At 41.3% G+C, this 19,427-nt stretch overlaps 1 protein-coding gene across 11 annotated transcripts in view; it reads right to left on the reverse strand.

Moving 5' to 3' along the window:
• Positions 1 to 19,427, reverse strand: part of SRGAP2B (SLIT-ROBO Rho GTPase activating protein 2B) — a 208,093-nt gene that overhangs the window by 68,796 nt on the left and 119,870 nt on the right. For 2 of the 11 annotated variants that reach the window (XM_047428007.1, XM_047428008.1), the window contains exons 2-3: positions 4,255 to 4,315; positions 1,465 to 1,512 (exon numbers count right to left, since the gene is read on the reverse strand). The exons of 6 other annotated variants lie outside the window; for them this stretch is intronic. Coding sequence is in view for 1 of the 5 variants with exons in the window: in NM_001385226.1 (NP_001372155.1) it covers positions 4,255 to 4,344 (90 nt within the window). In the remaining 4 variants the exon portion in view is untranslated. Of the gene's footprint in view, positions 1 to 1,464; positions 1,513 to 4,254; positions 4,345 to 19,427 lie in introns of all 11 variants that reach the window. 3 more of the 11 variants (NM_001330684.2, NM_001368324.2, NM_001385226.1) reach the window with 2 other exon arrangements.

Raw genomic sequence — 19,427 nt, forward strand, 5'->3', positions numbered from 1 at the left:
AGGTGATTCTGAAGTCCATCATTTTAGCCACTAAGTCATTTGGTTTGTCCCTAGGGTTAGAAACCAAAGTTAGAGATTTTGTCTAGACACAAAAATCACTACAGCACTACAAAATCCCCACAAATGTATCCATTGTAGGATTTAATAAAGGCAAATTTGGAGACATATGCCATTAAAATGTTACTGAAAACTCTGGAGTTCCACAGAACACATCTAAGGAAGTTTTGATTTCATTTATTGAGCCATGATCTCATGTCCCATACAATCAAGAACACAAACCATACCTGAACATGTGTTCCTAAAATGTCTACAGCTTGAGTGGAGCAGTAAAGTGCTAAACCAAGGTGCTCATTCCCTTTTTTTTTTTTTTTTTTTTTTTTTTGAGACAAAGTCTCACTCTGTCACCCAGGCTGGAGTACAGTGGCACAATCTTGGCTCACTGCAACCTCCGCCTCCCGCTTTCAAGAGATTCTCCTGCCTCAGCCTCCCTAGTAGCTGGGATTATAGGCACCTGCCACCACGCCCAGCTAACTTTTGTATTTTTAGTAGAGATGGGTTTTCACCATGTTGACCATGCTGATCTTGAACTCCCGACCTCAAGTGATCCACCCACCTTGGCCTCCCAAAGTGCTGGGATTATAGGAGTGAGCCACCGCGCCCGGCCCTAGATGCTCATTTCTAATGAAAACATTGTGATCCAAAAGAATTATTGATTACCAACTCAGCATTAACTTAAGCAACAGAAAGTTCTACATTTGGAAGTTGGATTTCTTTAAGGAGAGAAACAAAAGTAGGAATAATTTGCAGTACTATTTATCAAGGGATACTGTACACATATCTGGGCCCTTTATACATGTTGTTTGACTTAAACCCCACAACTACCTGATGAGGTGGGTGTTATTAACCACATTTGGAAGATGAGGAAAAGTAGACTAAAAATTTTTAAACACTTTGCCCAAGGTCATATAGCTAAAAAGTGGCAATTCCAGAATTCAAACCAAGCCTATAACTGCAAAGCGAGTACTCTCATTCACTGCAAATAATAACTATCTGTTTCTTTCCCCCTTTCCTCTCTTCTCCGCTCCAGTCAGACTCCTACTACAAGGAAAGTGAGTTGAGAGTAGCTTGGTTATTGAGTCAGTACTGCCTCCATTCAGCACTAAAGACCAGGCACTTGTGATTTGTAAACCATGAAGTTCAACTTAGAAGGCTTTTCCAATTCTATAGTAGTAACTATTAACAAATAATCATGCCATACTTACTTGGACTTCAGAACACATCAGACAAATCAAATATCTGTCTAACCCAACCAAGAAGTTACTTCAAACCAATTAATATTAGAGTCCAAATTGAAACTGTTCTAAACCTGTATCCGGGTACCACTCACCCCCTGCCCCAGGCATCACTCTTCTGTAGCCAAAATCACTAACTCTTAAGCGTGCCAATCACTGTGACAACACTTACCTTTTTAGGGAAACTGAAAGATTTCTATGGAAATCAAAAATATACCAGCTGAGAGGAAGAGAGACACATAATTAATTTACTCCTTTCAAAATGTTTAGTATCTGGGGAAAAAAAAGTGAACTGGAAACAATCCTAAATTCAAAATGGTAAGATATTTGAACACATGCATTCCATAGCATCTGATGTCTCCATTGCAAGAAAACTTTCAAAATGATTCCAATTAGATTTCAGTTACAAAATTCTAAATAACCTAATTTACATTTTAATCAAGTGGTGTCTCTCGGCAAGATACCCATGTCCTCAGTAAGCATGCTTTTTAAAGGGGCAGATCTCATGAGACTTTACATTGACAATTGGTTTCAATCTATTTCTTAAGGAAGAAGATGGATTGGGGGGGATCTATACTGGTTCTTTCCCTATAGCACTTTACATACACACAAATAATGCCACAATTCAATTCCACAAATGTACACACATTTGTATCTTAAATGAACAAGGCATGGTGTTAGGTGCTTTAGTGGTTATAAAAGTGCAAATGCTGCAATATAGTAAGGGAGACAAAGAAAGACCTATAGTAAAGTAGAACTTTAATGGTGGTACAAACAAAAGGCCAGCTAGCTCAGAAAGGTAGACCGCAGATCAAAAGAGGAAGCAGAGGAGGCAAAATCAACCTAACACCATGGGAAAGGATGCAGAGCACATATCCCCAAGGTGTCCTCAAAAGAAAAGATGACTGAACAAAGATGGGTCAATAAACAGGATGGCTGGAAGTAGAAATCTTTTAAAATAAAATGCCTTACCACTTAATGCTAATAAGTTTTATTGAGAACTTGTAAGGTGTGGCTCACGCCTGCAATCCCAGCACTTTGGGAGGCCAAGGCAGGTGGATCACTTGAGACCAAGAGTTCAAGACCAGCCTGGCCAGCATGGCAAAACCCCATCTCTACTAAAAATACAAAATTACCTCAGTGTGGATGGTGCACACCTGTAATCCCAGCTACTTGGGAGGCTGAGGCAGGAGAATCACTTGAACCCCGGAGGCAGAGGTTGCAGTGAGCTGAGATCATGCCACTGCACTCCAGCCTGGGTGAGAGCAAGACTCCATCTCAAAACAAAAGAAAAAAAAGAAAAAAGAACTTGCAAGGTGCTATAAGTACTTTTCACATGTATTTATTTCCATCCTTACAGCATTTTGTGCGATAGTTACAGTATTAGTATTGGTTTCAGAGAGCAGGAGCTTTTAAACTGTGTTCTGAGATACTCTGGAATTAGCAGAAAATCACATTTCAATTTAAAAAACGGTGACACATCCATTCAAATGAGCAACCCTCACTGACATGAGCAAGAGACCCAGGACCCAGTTTCCCTGCATTAGATACCACTGCAATGTCTCGCAGGCTGCTAGCATTGTTTTATGTAAACCCTGGAAGAAAGAATCACTGTATGCCTTGGAACTTCTGAACAATATGCTATTAATTAGAATACATGTAGCTTTGCATAGGTTTATTTTTTCATTCAAGCCTGTGTGTGCCTCCTCCAATAAAGCTGTACAGGTGAGCCTATAACTTGACACACAGCAGCAAGGTTCAATCACATGCCATAGAAGGCTCAAGGGCCTAGGCTGGGTTCATGTGAGACCGTGGTTGGGTAGCGAAAATCAACATGCTTAATATCATACCATCTCATCATCAGTTGTTGCGATGCCTATTATACATGTTGGGGCTTATCCAATTAATATTTATGAAGGGGAATAGCTGCTAGGTGATGATAGTGACTCAACTTTAAAACAAAAATATCTTCTTTTTTCCATCTAAATCAATTTAAAGCTCAAGATTACAATAACTTATCTATGCTAATCAGAATTTTCTTGATATTGGACTACCTAAACCAAAACCAGATGCTGAAATGAATATAAAACTATAACTGATTCATAATCCTGATCTCAATATTTTTAGTTCATAAAAACAGCCTCATTGTTCTCATTGACTGACAGTATAATAAGTACTCTATAAATTTGTACTTTAAAAGCAGATTTATACCAATAAAAATACTGCTTTGATCTGTTTCATATATTGAGGCTCTATGCAAGATTTTTATTTTAAAAAAGGAGTCTATGCTTAAAAAACCAGCACTAGATCCTGTTGGCTGTTTCTTCCAGGAGTTCTCAGCCTCTCCTACTATTAATGCAGCTTTTCACACAATATTTCTGGTCCTTTGAGTCTGTAAGCTTTCTCAGACATATTCTTCCTTTCAACTGAGGTGTTTCAATTAATTCATTTATTTATTTTTGGGTAGTGGTAGAGCAAGTAAGGTAGAGAGAAAGTGGGAGGAGGGGATCACAAATATACAGACAATTTTCCCAGCCAACACGAACAAAGATGAAACACACTTCAGGCTGGAAAATAAGCACGGCAACGAGACGTGATTTCATAGGGAGCATATTAAGGCTCTGCTAGAGTGGTTTCCTGCTCCAGAAGCTTTGCAGCCTCATTTTATTTGGGACCGCTGAAGCCAAGGGAACTTCGTTTGGTTAGGAGATTGAAATTTGTCTTTATATCTTTTCCATCTATCATTTGTTTGCACAGTCTCTTTACTTTCCCCACCCCCAGAGCCTTAGGTTGTATAATACTTGGGCCTTTAAAGGAAAGGGTCTGCATCCCTTAGGAATGTGCTGAGCAGCTGCAAACCTCCTCAAACACTAATCCCTAAAAAGCAGACAAAATACCTAGGAGTATTTTTCTTACTTAAAATGTTTTTCAGGAGGAAGATCAAGAAAACATCATACTATACCTGAGAGGGAATGACTCTGGAGTCGAAAGGAGACCCGGAAAGTCACATGCTGCCTGTACATCTGCAGGAGACATTATCACTGTAAATGCACTGAAAGAGATAAACCTGCATAGCTGAATCATTAGCTTCGAAGACATTAGCCCAGCTTTTCTCCCTCAACTTGGACTATTTATGGACGTTCAACAAACTTAGCAACAAGCGCTTAAAGGGATTTCTCTAAAATATCCATGGTGAAGAGCCAAGTCTATAAAGGTCCAAGTTGGCCTCTCTATTATGGTTCTTTTCCATATCACCTCTGTTTGGTTTTTATCATCTCATCTATAAAATGGACACGTGCCCTATTGGTATACATCTCACTCCTCAAAGATCTTCAAAGTATGGCTGTAAAATCCTAGACGCTCTCCTGACCTAAGGTGCCATTTAATTAATAATTGCTACGTTCATGGCTGTGCAGATGGAATGCATGGCATGAGGCTGGCATTGCTGGAATATAGCTTGAGCTTCTGCATTGCTATAACGAGGTGTGTTTCCTTTTGGGCCAATAGTCTCTAAGTTGCTCACCTCTCAGGGCTGTTGTGTGGATCAAATGAAATGATGGATGCAAAAGAACTATGCCAATAGTTCAGCACTATACAAATGTGAAGAAATATTATTATTTTTATTTCCAAACAAACTAGGACTCAGCTTTCATCAATTTCCAACATGCTTCTCACCCGGCTCTGGGCCAGGGCCAAGATTGCTGCCTGCTGAAAATGCACAGCCTTCAGCAAATAATGGTTTGAGTAAGACAGCAGCAACAGGCAATTAACAAAGCAGCCGTAAGGCTCTGGGAAGACGTGAGAGAGATACCAACAGGAGAGCAGATTTTAATCTCCCACTGTCCTTTCCCTAAGGGACAAGGTAGAACAATCAGTCCTGCATTCCACACTGGGAACTGTGTGCTGAGGTTGACAGAAAGGAATCCAAAGGGAGCACAGATTGCCCAAACCCTAGATGCTTCAGCAACTTATACTAAGCTCCCATCCCCTGTCTCAGAATTCCTATCAAACCTGCCAATCTGCATAGAGAGATGGCAACTATCAATACATCTAAGCAGAATATAATTTCTCGCTTTTAAAAACAGACCTATCTGTGATGATAGACAAAACTTAAAGAGTTAAATACATCATTCAATATATGTTATTGAACATACAAGTATGTGGTGAATAAAAAAAGGTACATGCATGATAAAAGGAATCATTTAAGTGATGGTTGGACAGGGAACTTGTGACAAGAAGGAGGTTGGATTTTTTAACCTAAATTCCCTCCTGGCACCTTGATTAAAATGAAATGAACTGAGGCAGCCAAAGAGATTATTTTATTCAGATGAGTGTTATTAGCCTTTCTGGCTTATTTTCTCTATTATGCATTTTGCTGATGCTGACAGAAGCAGGCAGGCTGGATAGAGAGGCAAAGCTGCAGTGGATTTATGGTCTGACAGTGTCATGCATAAAATCAGACCCTTGCTGACCCAGATAAGCCAGAGGATGGATTGGATTTGCTGGGGAAGGTGTTAAAAGAAGGAGGGGGTAAAAATCACCAAGGTAGGAAATGACTTGAAAACGATTCTGCCTGTAATGGTGGATGCTGGTTTTGTGACCCAGTAGTACAGCGGCAGCCTGAAGGTATCTTTCAAAGACAGACGGGCAGGCAGGGGGCGGGCACACTTCTCTGGGCTTATCACAGCTTTGGCTTCAGCGTTGCCAGCAATGAGATCAGAGGAGGAGAGTTCAGAGACAGAGAAAAGTGCCAAAGGCAAAAATAATATAGTCTACATATGGAGAAATGAACTTTCAAATTTTCAGGGACAAGTGAGTACCACAAATTGTCTTCGGTAGCCTAGACAGATGATTAGAAAGGATTCAAGCAGTGGTAGACCCACCTTCTCAAAATAGCCTAAATTGTCCCCTATAATCAGGTTTGGGGGAAGGACTGTATGAAAATAAGATTCTTGTGGCTCTGGATTAGTTCCATGGAGCAGAACCACACCCTTGAGAGAACAGCATGCCCAAGAGCCGGACCTTAGGAATCTGCTTTGAAGTAGAGAACTGGACTAGCACCATGTCTGACATCTATTAAGTGCTTAATCACGATTTCCTGAATGATTATAGGACCAAGGTTCTTGTGGGTTAGGTCAGAGAACTAGGAATGGCCCCCAAATTTAAGCTATCGTAGACACTAACTGGAAATGTCTCCATCAATTTATGTTAAGTGAGAGATTCTGCCTTCCTTTCAACCACCCCTATGGCACGGTGCTCACAGCAGAAAGGAGGCAAATGGAGGGTCTTCATATCTCTTAAGATAGATCTATGGATCCCATAAGACCAGACACGGGGGTCTACACAAGATTTGAATCTCTGCCATCCACATTTCTTGCCTAGTTTCTGATATCTTATTGTCCAGGCTCCTTCTCTGAGTCCCTGATGTCTTCTTATTTCATTCATTCATTTAACAAATATTAATTGAGCCTCCTATTATGGGCTAGCCACTATTCTAGGAATAAAAGGATCAACATTCTTTTTTCTGACCTGCTTCTCCCATGTTTGCAGACTTCCTGGATCCAAGACATGGCTTTCCTGCTCCTAAACTGTGCATCAGCCACAACCCACATCTTATCCTGGTCTTGTGGCTTGTGTGTACATTGGCTTGGATGAACCCACTGCAAAACCCTGATTTGGCTGACTTAGAAAATCTGCCTGCCCACCAGCTCTCTCTATAGCTTCTGTAGACCTGGGACCTTCCCTTTGTTTACATCCCATGTGTTAGCACTAGCATTCCCAGAACTATAGGGAGGAATGAATAAAGAGGCTGTTAAACCCTCTTGGTACAATCTACATGCTACAATGCCACCCCAATATAATCCATAGAACTAAGGGCCTAGAAATGCACTTAGGTATTAAATATGCTCCCTGAAAGCCCCCCAAAATAGGCTGTGATCACATCAAAGGCCTGAGCTGACTCATTCACTCAGTTAAACTAAAACACCATAGCAAGGGTAAAAGACAGAACAAAGGTGTGATCAATGACCGAGGAACATAAAATTTATACGTTTCTCAGCTTAAAAAGAATTCGTAACCATCAATATCATGTTGACAGTTGGATCCACAAAGTCCATAGAAAAACCTGTGAACAACTCTACAATTATATCTTTGATTTTTTCTTCTCTAGTTAATTAAGATGTCACCAGAAGCCCTATAAGTAATTATAGCACATGACAAACATACAGAGAAAAAAAAATACACACAGATGTGTTAGCAGATTTTTAAAATAAATGAAACCTTGGGAAATGACTGAGGCAGACAGTCTGGCTCACCCCTGGTAGTTCATTCTAGAGAAATAAATACCTGTCTGTGCCAAAGTGGAATGACGTCACTCAGAAATCCACACACTTATCAAAGCAGTAACCACCCCCTTAAGAGCAAGCATCTCTCTGGCACCAGGCATGAGCGGAGAAGTTTGATCTACAGCCAGAAACTCCTCCTGGCTAGCAAATTGTACTGTAGTATGCCAAATAGCAATAAGCCACTGAGAAGAAAGGGTATCCATAAAGATCTCCCCCTCCCAAACACCCGTCCCTGGGACAATGAGTCCCCTTACATGGCTCATAACAACAATGAAAAGGAGGGAAAAAAAATAAAATTCTTGATTCTGTGAAACTATAGATCTAAATGGAATGAAGTCTACACAGTCATCAGATTGGCTGCATGTGTCATTATCAGTTCTCATGTGTTATTTGGATATTTATCTTGCCTTTATTAGAAGGAAGTCTCTTTTTGTGTGGGGGTGCAGGAGGAACAACCCCCAGGCCCAGTAAGGAATTCTCTTGAGGACAGGGTATATTTAGAATGTTTAATGAACACCTATCACCAAGAATAGGTGGGTCCTTAATCAGTATTGACTAACAACAGATGCCAGAGCCAAAGCAATCCTGTAAATGTTGAGGACAGAAAGACCATGATTCATTTAATGACTAGTTAATATGTTCAGCCTCCACCAATCTTGCCAAATCAGCTGCTCCAGTGTGTATCTGTGCTCACTCTCTGGGTGGCTACTGAATGACCAAATTTGTATGTCCATTGGCTTGTGTACTCTAAATTACAGCATATTATTAACCATGTTGATACTTTACTGGCAAAACTTTAAAGGGCTGAGTGGTATAAGAGAAGCCCTAGTCAATTTCCAGGTTAGTAGATCAAATTAGCGAGTTCAGGTCCTTAAGGAATCTGGATGAACAATGTGAAACTCCATCTACACTCTGTGGAAAGCGCCTTGAACTATGCTTAAGACACAGAGTCTAGGCTTAGCTCTGCCACTTACTAGCCAGGTAACTTTGGGCAAGTCACAAATGCATTCTGGGTCTCAAAATCTCTTCACCTGTTTTAAAAAGTAAATGGAAGCCAGGTATGGTGACACGTGCCTGTACTCCTGGCTACTCGGGAAGCTGAGGTGGGAAGATCGCTTGAGCCCAGGAGCTTGAGGCCATAGTGCACAATGATTGTGCCTGTAAATGACCAGCCTGGGTAACATAGGACCTGTCTCTTAAAAAATAAATAAATAGAGACGGAGGTAGAGGGAGGACACAGAGCCGCGCCGCCTGCACCAGAGACCTTCGCCTCGCCCCGCCGGTTCCTCACCCTCGGGGAGCAACATGGATAATCTCAGTGATACCTTGAAGAAGCTGAAGATAACAGCTGTTGACAAGACTGAGGATAGTTTAGAAGGATGCTTGGATTGTCTGCTTCAAGCCCTGGCTCAAAATAAATGATTCAGTGTAGGGGGGAGGAGCCAAGATGGCCGAATAGGAACAGCTCCGGTCTACAGCTCCAGCGTGAGCGACACAGAAGACGGGTGATTTCTGCATTTCCATCTGAGCTTTGAAGAGAGCAGTGGTTCTCCCAGCACGCAGCTGGAGATCTGAGAACGGGCAGACTGCCTCCTCAAGTGGGTCCCTGACCCCTGACCCCCGAGCAGCCTAACTGGGAGGCACCCCCCAGCAGGGGCACACTGACACCTCACACGGCAGGGTATTCCAACAGACCTGCAGCTGAGGGTCCTGTCTGTTAGAAGGAAAACTAACAAACAGAAAGGACATCCACACCGAAAACCCATCTGTACATCACCATCATCAAAGACCAAAAGTAGAGAAAACCTCAAAGATGGGGAAAAAACAGAACAGAAAAACTGGAAACTCTAAAACGCAGAGCGCCTCTCCTCCTCCAAAGGAACGCAGTTCCTCACCAGCAACGGAACAAAGCTGGATGGAGAATGATTTTGACGAGCTGAGAGAAGAAGGCTTCAGACGATCAAATTACTCTGAGCTATGGGAGCACATTCAAACCAAAGGCAAAGAAGTTGAAAACTTTGAAAAAAATTTAGAAGAATGTATAACTAGAATAACGAATACAGAGAAGTGCTTAAAGGAGCTGATGGAGCTGAAAACCAAGGCTCGAGAACTACGTGAAGAATGCAGAAGCCTCAGGAGCCGATGCGATCAACTGGAAGAAAGGGTATCAGCAATGGAAGATGAAATGAATGAAATGAAGCGAGAAGGGAAGTTTAGAGAAAAAAAGAATAAAAAGAAATGAGCAAAGCCTCCAATAAATATGGGACTATGTGAAAAGACCAAATCTACGTCTGATTGGTGTACCTGAAAGTGAGGCGGAGAATGGAACCAAGTTGGAAAACACTCTGCAGGATATTATCCAGGAGAACTTCCCCAATCTAGCAAGGCAGGCCAACGTTCAGATTCAGGAAATACAGAGAACGCCACAAAGACACTCCTCGAGAAGAGCAACTCCAAGACACATAATTGTCAGATTCACCAAAGTTGAAATGAAGGAAAAAATGTTAAGGGCAGCCAGAGAGAAAGGTCGGGTTACCCTCAAAGGGAAGCCCATCAGACTAACAGCAAATCTCTCGGCAGAAACCCTACAAGCCAGAAGAGAGTGGGGGCCAATATTCAACATTCTTAAAGAAAAGAATTTTCAACCCAGAATTTCATATCCAGCCAAACTAAGCTTCATAAGTGAAGGAGAAATAAAATACTTTACAGACAAGCAAATGCTGACCGATTTTGTCACCACCAGGCCTGCCCTAAAAGAGCTCCTGAAGGAAGTGCTAAACGTGGAAAGGAACAACCAGTACCAGCCACTGCAAAAACATGCCCAATTGTAAACACCATCGATGCTAGGAAGAAACTGCATCAACTAATGAACAAAATAGCCAGCTAACATCATAATGACAGGATCAAATTCACACATAACAATATTAACCTTAAATGTAAATGGGCTAAATGCTCCAATTAAAAGACACAGACTGGCAAATGGATAAAGAGTCAAGACCCATCAGTGTGCTGTATTCAAGAAACCCTTCTCACGTGCAGAGACACACATAGGCTGAAAATAAAAGGATGGAGGAAGATCTACCAAGCAAATGGAAAACAAAAAAAGGAAGGGGTTGCAATCCTAGTCTCTGATAAAACAGACTTTAAACCCACAAAGATCAAAAGAGACAAAGAAGGCCATTACATAATGGTAAAGGGATCAATTCAACAAGAGGAGCTAACTATCCTAAATATATATGCACCCAATACAGGAGCACCCAGATTCATAAAGCAAGTCCTGAGTGACCTACAAAGAGACTTAGACTCCCACACATTAATAATGGGAGACTTTAACACCCCACTGTCAACATTAGACAGATCAACGAGACAGAAAGTCAACAAGGATACCCAGGAATTGAACTCAGCTCTGCACCAAGCGGACCTAATAGACATCTACAGAACTCTCCACCCCAAATCAACAGAATATACATTTTTTTCAGCACCACACCACACCTATTCCAAAATTGACCACGTAGTTGGAAGTAAAGCTCTCCTCAGCAAATGTAAAAGAACAGAAATTATAACAAACTATCTCTCAGACCACAGTGCAATCAAACTAGAACTCAGGATTAAGAATCTCACTCAAAGCCGCTCAACTACATGGAAACTGAACAACCTGCTCCTGAATGACTACTGGGTACATAACGAAATGAAGGCAGAAATAAAGATGTTCTTTGAAACCAACGAGAACAAAGACACAACATACCAGAATCTCTGGGACGCATTCAAAGCAGTGTGTAGAGGGAAATTTATAGCACTAAATCCCCACAAGAGAAAGCAGGAAAGATCCAAAATTGACACCCTAACATCAAAATTAAAAGAACTAGAAAAGCAAGAGCAAACACATTCAAAAGCTAGCAGAAGGCAAGAAATAACTAAAATCAGAGCAGAACTGAAGGAAATAGAGACACAAAAAACCCTTCAAAAAATCAATGAATCCAGGAGCTGGTTTTTTGAAAGGATCAACAAAATTGATAGACCGCTAGCAAGACTAATAAAGAAAAAAAGAGAGAAGAATCAAATAGACACAATAAAAAATGATAAAGGGGATATCACCACCAATCCCACAGAAATACAAACTACCATCAGAGAATACTACAAACACCTCTACACAAATAAACTAGAAAATCTAGAAGAAATGGATACATTCCTCGACACATACACTCTCCCAAGACTAAACCAGGAAGAAGTTGAATCTCTGAATAGACCAATAACAGGAGCTGAAATTGTGGCAATAATCAATAGTTTACCAACCAAAAAGAGTCCAGGACCAGATGGATTCACAGCCGAATTCTACCAGAGGTACAAGGAGGAACTGGTACCATTCCTTCTGAAACTATTCCAATCAATAGAAAAAGAGGGAATCCTCCCTAACTCATTTTATGAGGCCAGCATCATTCTGATACCAAAGCCGGGCAGAGACACAACCAAAAAAGAGAATTTTAGACCAATATCCTTGATGAACATTGATGCAAAAATCCTCAATAAAATACTGGCAAACCGAATCCAGCAGCACATCAAAAAGCTTATCCACCATGATCAAGTGGGCTTCATCCCTGGGATGCAAGGCTGGTTCAATATACGCAAATCAATAAATGTAATCCAGCATATAAACAGAGCCAAAGACAAAAACCACATGATTATCTCAATAGATGCAGAAAAAGCCTTTGACAAAATTCAACAACCCTTCATGCTAAAAACTCTCAATAAATTAGGTATTGATGGGACGTATCTCAAAATAATAAGAGCTATCTATGACAAACCCACAGCCAATATCATACTGAATGGGCAAAAACTGGAAGCATTCCCTTTGAAAACTGGCACAAGACAGGGATGCCCTCTCTCACCACTCCTATTCAACATAGTGTTGGAAGTTCTGGCCAGAGCAATCAGGCAGGAGAAGGAAATAAAGGGTATTCAATTAGGAAAAGAGGAAGTCAAATTGTCCCTGTTTGCAGATGACATGATTGTTTATCTAGAAAACCCCATCGTCTCAGCCCAAAATCTCCTTAAGCTGATAAGCAACTTCAGCAAAGTCTCAGGATATAAAATCAATGTACAAAAATCACAAGCATTCTTATACACCAACAACAGACAAACAGAGAGCCAAATCATGAGTGAACTCCCATTCACAATTGCTTCAAAGAGAATAAAATACCTAGGAATCCAACTTACAAGGGATGTGAAGGACCTCTTCAAGGAGAACTACAAACCACTGCTCAAGGAAATAAAAGAGGATACAAACAAATGGAAGAACATTCCATGCTCATGGGTAGGAAGAATCAATATCGTGAAAATGGCCATACTGCCCAAGGTAATTTACAGATTCAATGCCATCCCCATCAAGCTACCAATGACTTTCTTCACAGAATTGGAAAAAACTACTTTAAAGTTCATATGGAACCAAAAAAGAGCCCGCATCGCCAAGTCAATCCTAAGGCAAAAGAACAAAGCTGGAGGCATCACACTACCTGACTTCAAACTATACTACAAGGCTACAGTAACCAAAACAGCATGGTACTGGTACCAAAACAGAGATATAGATCAATGGAACAGAACAGAGCCCTCAGAAATAATGCCACATACCTACAACTATCTGATCTTTGACAAACCTGAGAAAAACAAGCAATGGGGAAAGGATTCCCTATTTAATAAATGGTGCTGGGAAAACTGGCTAGCCATATGTAGAAAGCTGAAACTGGATCCCTTCCTTACACCTTATACAAAAATCAATTCAAGATGGATTAAAGATTTAAACGTTAGACCTAAAACCATAAAAACCCTAGAAGAAAACCTAGGCATTACCATTCAGGACATAGGCGTGGGCAAGGACTTCATGTCCAAAACACCAAAAGCAATGGCAACAAAAGCCAAAATTGACAAATGGGATCTCATAAAACTAAAGAGCTTCTGCACAGCAAAAGAAACTACCATCAGAGTGAACAGGCAAACTACAACATGGGAGAAAATTTTTGCAACCTACTCATCTGACAAAGGGCTAATATCCAGAATCTACAATGAACTCAAACAAATTTACAAGAAAAAAAACAAACAACCCCATCAAAAAGTGGGTGAAGGACATGAACAGACACTTCTCAAAAGAAGACATTTATGCAGCCAAAAAACACATGAAAAAATGCTCATCATCACTGGCCATCAGAGAAATGCAAATCAAAACCACTATTGAGATATCATCTCACACCAGTTAGAATGGCAATCATTAAAAAGTCAGGAAACAACAGGTGCTGGAGAGGATGTGGAGAAATACAAACACTTTTACACTGTTGGTGGGACTGTAAACTAGTTCAACCATTGTGGAAGTCAGTGTGGCGATTCCTCAGGGATCTAGAACTAGAAATACCATTTGACCCAGCCATCCCATTACTGGGTATATACCCAAATGACTATAAATCCTGCTGCTATAAAGACACATGCACACGTATGTTTATTGCGGCATTATTCACAATAGCAAAGACTTGGAACCAACCCAAATGTCCAACAATGATAGACTGGATTAAGAAAATGTGGCACATATACACCATGGAATACTATGCAGCCATAAAAAATGATGAGTTCATGTCCTTTGTAGGGACATGGATGAAATTGGAAACCATCATTCTCAGTAAACTATCGCAAGAACAAAAAACCAAACACCGCATATTCTCACTCATAGGTGGGAACTGAACAATGAGATCACATGGACACAGGAAGGGGAATATCACACTCTGGGGACTGTGGTGGGGTGGGGGGAGGGGGGAGGGATAGCATTGGGAGATATACCTAATGCTAGATGACGAGTTAGTGGGTGCAGCGCACCAGCATGGCACATGTATACATATGTAACTAACCTGCACAATGTGCACATGTACCCTAAAACTTAAAGTATTAAAAAAAAAAAAAAGCATGATTCAGTGTAGTTGTAGTGCTAGATATATTATATGGAATTATCAGCAGTTTACCAGTTGGTTCTTTATTAGTACTCCTGATGTCTTAAACAAAAATGAATAACTGTTTATCTTTTAAAAAAATAAATAAATAAAAAATAAATAAATAAATAAATGGGATAAGCAGGGACAGCAGACCTGCCCTGCCTAACACACATGACTTTTGTGAAGATCCAATCAAACAAGGTGATGCCCTTAAACAAACTTTATAAACATGAAAGTGTTCTACAACTATATATCAGTATCAACATCTTTTCTTATAATTATGACAACTATCATTACTCAACAGCCCACACAATGAATTCATACCCACGAAACAAAGTGACTAGAATCATGTCTGAAAAGACAAATACATCTCAAAATTCCTTTTATAATAAACTTGTTTCATAAATTCCCTACTTCATTAGTATACTAAATAGGAACACTTCCTTTTTTTTTTTTTTTTGAGACGGAGTTTCACTCTTGTTGTCCAGGCTAGAGTGCAATGGTGCGATCTCGGCTCACCGCAACCTCCGCCTCCTGGGTTCAAGCGATTCTCCTGCCTCAGCCTCCTGAGTAGCTGGGATTACAGGCATGTGCCACCACGCTCGGCTAATTTTGTGTTTTTTAGTAGAGACAGGGTTTCTCCATGTTGGTCAGGCTGGTCTCCAACTCCTGACCTCAGGTGATCTGTCCACATTGGCCTCCCAAAGTGCTGGGATTACAGGTGTGAACCACCGCACCCGGCCCATACTTTTTTTTTGCAGAGATGGGGTCTTGCTCTGTTGCCCAGGTTGGAGTACACGGGCATGACCATGGTTCACTGTAGCCTCAAACTCCTGGGCTCAAGCAATCCTCCCGCCTCAGCCTCCCAAAGTGCCAGGCTCACAATTATGAGCCACCTCACCTGGCCAGGAATACATTTTATTGCTATTAATTTATCATCTGATTCTCTGGAAATTCCCAAACTCAGTGAATCTTCTGTGCCTAATGTAGCTGAGACTTTAAACGAAAGAATCATGTGCAAAGAGAAAAGGCCAGAGTGTACAAAAAGAGAATCATGGAATTTCAGAGCTAGAAGGGACTTTCAAGATGGTCTAGAGTCTAGACCAAGCCTGTCATTGTCTGAGTGAGGAAACTGAGGCTCAGGGAGCCTGAGATCACACAGACAGTGGTGGAGCAGGGCAAGAATCCAGGTCTCCTGACTAGTAACCGTTTTCTTATTTCATTGTGGTGGTTATTACATTTCATTCAAAAGCCCTTAGCATCTCAAAGGGCTGGTGCTGAAAGAGTTAATGGACAATGCTCAGAGCCCCAGAGCGCAGAGCTATTCTAAGACAACACATAACAGGAATACCAAGGGTCCATGAACCCAGAGGGAGCAAAACTGCTGCTGCCTAACGGCGCCTGAAAGCATGTTGACACACTGCATGTGGTTACACATGAAAGGCAAGTGAATAGGAAAAGCAGTTTTGAATCCCACCCCATTCTAATTTTGGACTGGCTCTGGGCACCTACTGGAGGACTGGGCCACACCCCAGTCACTCTGTAAAATGACCCTTCAGTTCCTTCACTCTCTCTATTCTGTGGCCTCAGTTAACCCCTTCTCTGCCTTCTTAAGGGCCATAAGAGACATCAGTAAAAGAGGACTATCAAGGAATTATCAAGATCCAGAAGTAAACCTAAGTGATTGGGGTCATCCTGTAACGAGAAGATTCCCAGTCTGGAGTCAGATGATCCCCACTAGTATCTACCATCCCCAAGCATGTGATCTGAAGCCTTCAACAGCCAGGTTCATAAATGCAAAAGAGAGCAGTTTCTGTAAGTGTGAGGCTTCAAGACCCCAAATCACCTTGCATCAGAATCACCTGGAATGCTTGTTTAAAATGTGGATTCTTATGCTCGTCTGCCAGAGATTACAACTCGTGGACTGATGCCCAGGAATCTGCCTTTCAAATCAGCATGTCAGGTAATTTTATGCACACCAAAAAATTTAAAAAACAATGCTCTTAAAGCAATGTTTTACAAACTGTGGGATTCAACCCATTAGTGAGGTTTAAAAAAAATCAACGTATAGGTCACCAACTAGCATTTCTCAAAAAATTAAGTAGGCAACAGTAGAAGAGAATAACAGAAAAAAGTAGCCTGGATGCAGTGCCTCACACCTGCATTCCCAGCACTTTGGGAGGCTGAGGCAGGCAGATCACTTGAGGTCAGGAGTTTGAGACCAGCTTGGGCAACACGGTAAAACCTTGTCTCTACCAAAAATACAAAAAACTAGCTGGGCATGGTGGTGTGCACCTGTGGTCCTAGCTACTCGGGAGGCTGAGGTGGGAGGATCACTTGAGCTCAGGAGGCAGAGGTTGCAGTGAGCCAAGATGGCGCCATTACACTCCAGCCCGGGTGAAAGAGTGAGACCCCATCTCAACAAAAAAAAGAATAACAGAACAAAGTAGAAAATCTCAGAGTACATCACACAAAGCAAACATAAGTATTGTTCTGTGAAAGTATTGTTCTCAGCTATTTATGTGTATATAAGTATATTCCAGCTTGTAGTATAAAATATGGAGATTCATGATCAAAATGTTTTAAAGTCACTGCTCCAGAGTAATGGTCTTAAATTATGGGAGATAATTACGTATTCCAGATCCCTTTGAGAATCGTTTTTTTCTTTTTTTCTTTCAGTTACCATCCATAGGACTCTGCTTGATACTTTTTGAGAATCTGAGGATTCTCTTCTAAAGAAGAGAAGGAGGGAGGGAGGGAGGGAGGGAAGCGGGGAAACATTATAATTTGCATAGATAAATCCAGCATGTACCTGAACTTCTAGAAGCCTATCCCTCAAGGGCTTCTCTTGAAGACAGTTCCTACAATGTCTGTTCACAGTGGGCACCCAATAACCACTGTACCATGCCAACAGCTTTCTCCCCATGCTCTGTAAATGACCCCAGTGTCTTCCTTATATACCTGTAAGATAAGTGGTCCAACTACGATGATTGTTTTCCTCTTATTTTTAGGGTGACTAGGAATGCCAAAGCTAAACAATGTCCTACAGAACACTGGGAGAAAGCAGTTGGCAAATTCCCAGAATGAGGATTCTGAAAGCAATGGTGTGGGTCCAATGTCACTGCTTTCCAAGGAACACACTCCCTGTCTACAGGGAGTGTCTACTCACTCCCGACAAGGGCAGACAATGGCACTGGCACAATTGTGCACCCCCCAGTGATAAAGTCAATAGAAGAATATCTACTTTATTTGCAAGCTGGTGAATTATTTGACCTACAAATGTACCCACAGACACAGAGGCCCCAGCCTTACCTTCTCTATATGAAAAGGACATAGGACATAAGGTCCCTAGTCCTAGATGGAAGATTTTAAAAGGGTATAAACGTCTAGAAAAACAACCAACAGCCATAGCTTGATTATCAACACAGTCCCATCCTGATGGTTAAACCTATCAGTACATAGAAAGAGTAAAAATGAGAATAAAGGTTTTAAAAACCAGCCTTTGCTAAGTGAGGAATATGAAGAAGAGATGGAAAGTGGCAAGGTATAATGGGGGGACAGGGACGGTGAAGAGAAATGGAAGAGTTGGGGAGGAAGGACCATTGAGAAGATAGAGAATCAAACCCCAAAACTATTCTAAAATTTCCTGATGCTTTTCAGTAATTTGTTTTCATGCAGTGGAAATTGGCACAGCATCTAGGATACTTTGGGCCCATCTGTTTTTGAACTTAAGCTGTACACAAGATTCAGAACAGCTGGAATCAGCAGCACTGACCAGGTTATATGTGTCTGGAGGAAAGAGAAATAAAATGAGTGTGTGGGAGATGGAGGAAGAGGGTTAAATGGGGCAGAGAAAGGGGATTCTGGAAGCCATTCCCAGACAGACAGGAGAAAATGGCCAGGTCATCAGAATTGATGCAAAAGAGCTATTAGAGAGGCCAAAGCATGTAACTGAAGAAAGTCCAGGAGGAGAAATTTCAAGGATTTCAGAACAGGGCACTAGCAAACAGTCTCGCAAAAGGACGTAAAAGTTTGCAAGTTTGGGTGTCAATGTGCAGTGCCCCGGGGCTTCATGTCTGAAAGGCCAGATCAACATTATCCTAAGGTCTTACATCAAGCATATTACATGAGCTGCTGGTAAACAGTACAGACAATCATGGCCTACAGCTGAGCAGATGCTGATGCTGATGCTGATGCTGATGCTGATGCTGGATTCTTGGTTCACTAAATGCAAAAGAGGTGATCAGGGAGAATGGCAAGGAGAACCTAGGAGCAGGCTTAGGAGAAACTGGCAAGGGTCTCAATCCATAAGATGGCTTGCTTAGAGACAGGGCTGGTCCAGAAGTAGGGGAAAATGGTTGGTTTGTTCTCAGTGCATGTCTGGCCTATGTCCCCATCACTGACTTCTGCTAAAGCCCTGACTTAATCTATGGATACATGGGTCTCTCACTTCTCCTGAATCTGCGCCATCTTTTTTAGTCAAGAGAAAAGGTTTGGCAGTGAGAAATGTCAAGACCCCATTCCGGAGAGGAAAACATTAAATACAAACAAATAAATAAACCAAATTATATTTCAAACAAATAATATAACTACATTGAAGGTCTGGAGATTGAGGGATGCTATGGTTTGAATCTGGTTTGTTCCCTCCAAAACTCATGTTGAAATTTGATTGCAATTGCAAGTGGTATTGAGAGGCTGGACCACTGGGGGTTGTCTGGGTCATGGGAAGAATCCTTCATGAATAAGATTAATATTCTCATGGAAATGAGTTCTCACTCTTGTGGGACTGGATTAGTTCCTGAGAGAGTGAGTTGTTGTAAAGC

The sequence above is a fragment of the Homo sapiens genome, chromosome 1 (assembly GCF_000001405.40).
Source record: "Homo sapiens chromosome 1, GRCh38.p14 Primary Assembly".
Lineage (NCBI taxonomy): Eukaryota > Metazoa > Chordata > Mammalia > Primates > Hominidae > Homo > Homo sapiens.